Source organism: Homo sapiens, chromosome 2 (assembly GCF_000001405.40).
Source record: "Homo sapiens chromosome 2, GRCh38.p14 Primary Assembly".
Taxonomy (NCBI): domain Eukaryota; kingdom Metazoa; phylum Chordata; class Mammalia; order Primates; family Hominidae; genus Homo; species Homo sapiens.
The window spans coordinates 155,219,180-155,220,804 of record NC_000002.12 but is presented as its reverse complement, the minus strand read 5'-3'; positions in this window follow the sequence as shown (position 1 = coordinate 155,220,804).

The window sequence follows — 1,625 nt, the reverse complement described above, 5'->3', positions numbered from 1 at the left end:
CCTTCCATTTGGGTATATACCTAGGAGTAGGATTGCTGGAGCATATGGTAGCTCCATTTTTAGTTTTCTGAGGGACCTTCTAATTATATTTTTTAATTGAAATTTGGCCAATATATGGGAAAATTGGTCATTTCTTATCTTATATCAAGCCATATTAGCTCATACTGGTTTAAATGTAGTTTTAAAGTGTTTGATGTTATTATATCATATTACTATTATTTTGTATAATGTTTAAGACAATGCACTTTTAGTGTGACATATCAGGACTCGAATCTCATTTTTAATGTTAGGCATATTCTGTATTCTTTTCTAGATCATATTAATAAAAAGTCTTGGCTTTATCTTTGAAGGCTTATTCAATTTCTTTTATACTTATTAGTCTAGCCAGGTTTTCTACTTCTAGATAAATTCTTATGCTTTACATATTGCTAGGAATTAATGTGCTATATCTAGATTTTTAAAATGTATTTATATATAATTGCTTTATGCCCACTAAATTCATTCATTTATTCATTCACATTCCTGGTAATATTTGATATTTATATCTTTACTAAATTTTCTAAATTATCTTTGCTAGCCCAAATAAGGTTGTATTTAAACTATTTTAGAGATCAAACCTATACTTTTATTTTAAATTCTATTAATTTTGGCTTATTATTTATTTTACCTGAGAACATCTTTGACTATATTTTATAAATTGGGTAAAATTCTATCTGCCTTTGATTTCTAAATTATGCTAGCTTATTTTAAAAAATTAATTATAAGTGAATTTATACGTGAACATACTTTTGGACTATCCTTTTGTTATTTTACTGTGGATTTATTGCATTTTGTTAAGTAATGTGCTATGTAGGATTTTTAAGTTTTTGAAACTCACTGGGATTTCTTGTGTTGCCCAATATATTTGTTAATCATATGCTATTTTTCTTTACTCATGTATTTAATACTTGGTTTGTTATTCTTTGTGAGAGGCTTTTTGAAGTCAATCAGAATTTATAAAAAATTTTAAATTTTCTCTTGTGCTTCTAATTTTTTTTGCTTTATAAATTTCATTGCTAAATTTTTTAATGTAAAATATGCTCATTATTTTTCTATCTCTTGGGTGGATTTAAACTTTTATTAACATAAAATACTTCTCTTTTTTATTTAAAGCATTTTCTTAAATTCTCTTTTCATTGATATATTAAACTATATTTAACATTCCTCTTTTTTATTCTTTCCTTCCCATAAATTACCCCCAGTATTGTTTTGTCTGTAATATTATTGTATAATTTTGATTAATTAAATGTACATTTTTAGAAATAGTTATTTAGATATAATTTTGTTTTTCTTTATTTGTCCCCAAAATGTGTCTTGTATTTCACAAGATCTTTTTGATTTTCTTTTCTGTTTTCATCAATTTATCATCTACTAATTTTACCAGAAATTTTTGGGATATAGTTCAAACTTCATATTGGACCACTAGTTTTTTCCTGGTTTAGGTTGTTAGGTTTAAAATAATTAAATAATTCCCTTGCAGACATTATATTTTAGCAGCTATTAAAATCTTTATGACAAAGATTTTCTGTTTTTTTTCTTTCTATTTATTTTTGGATTCTGACACTTGACAAAAATACATCTAAATT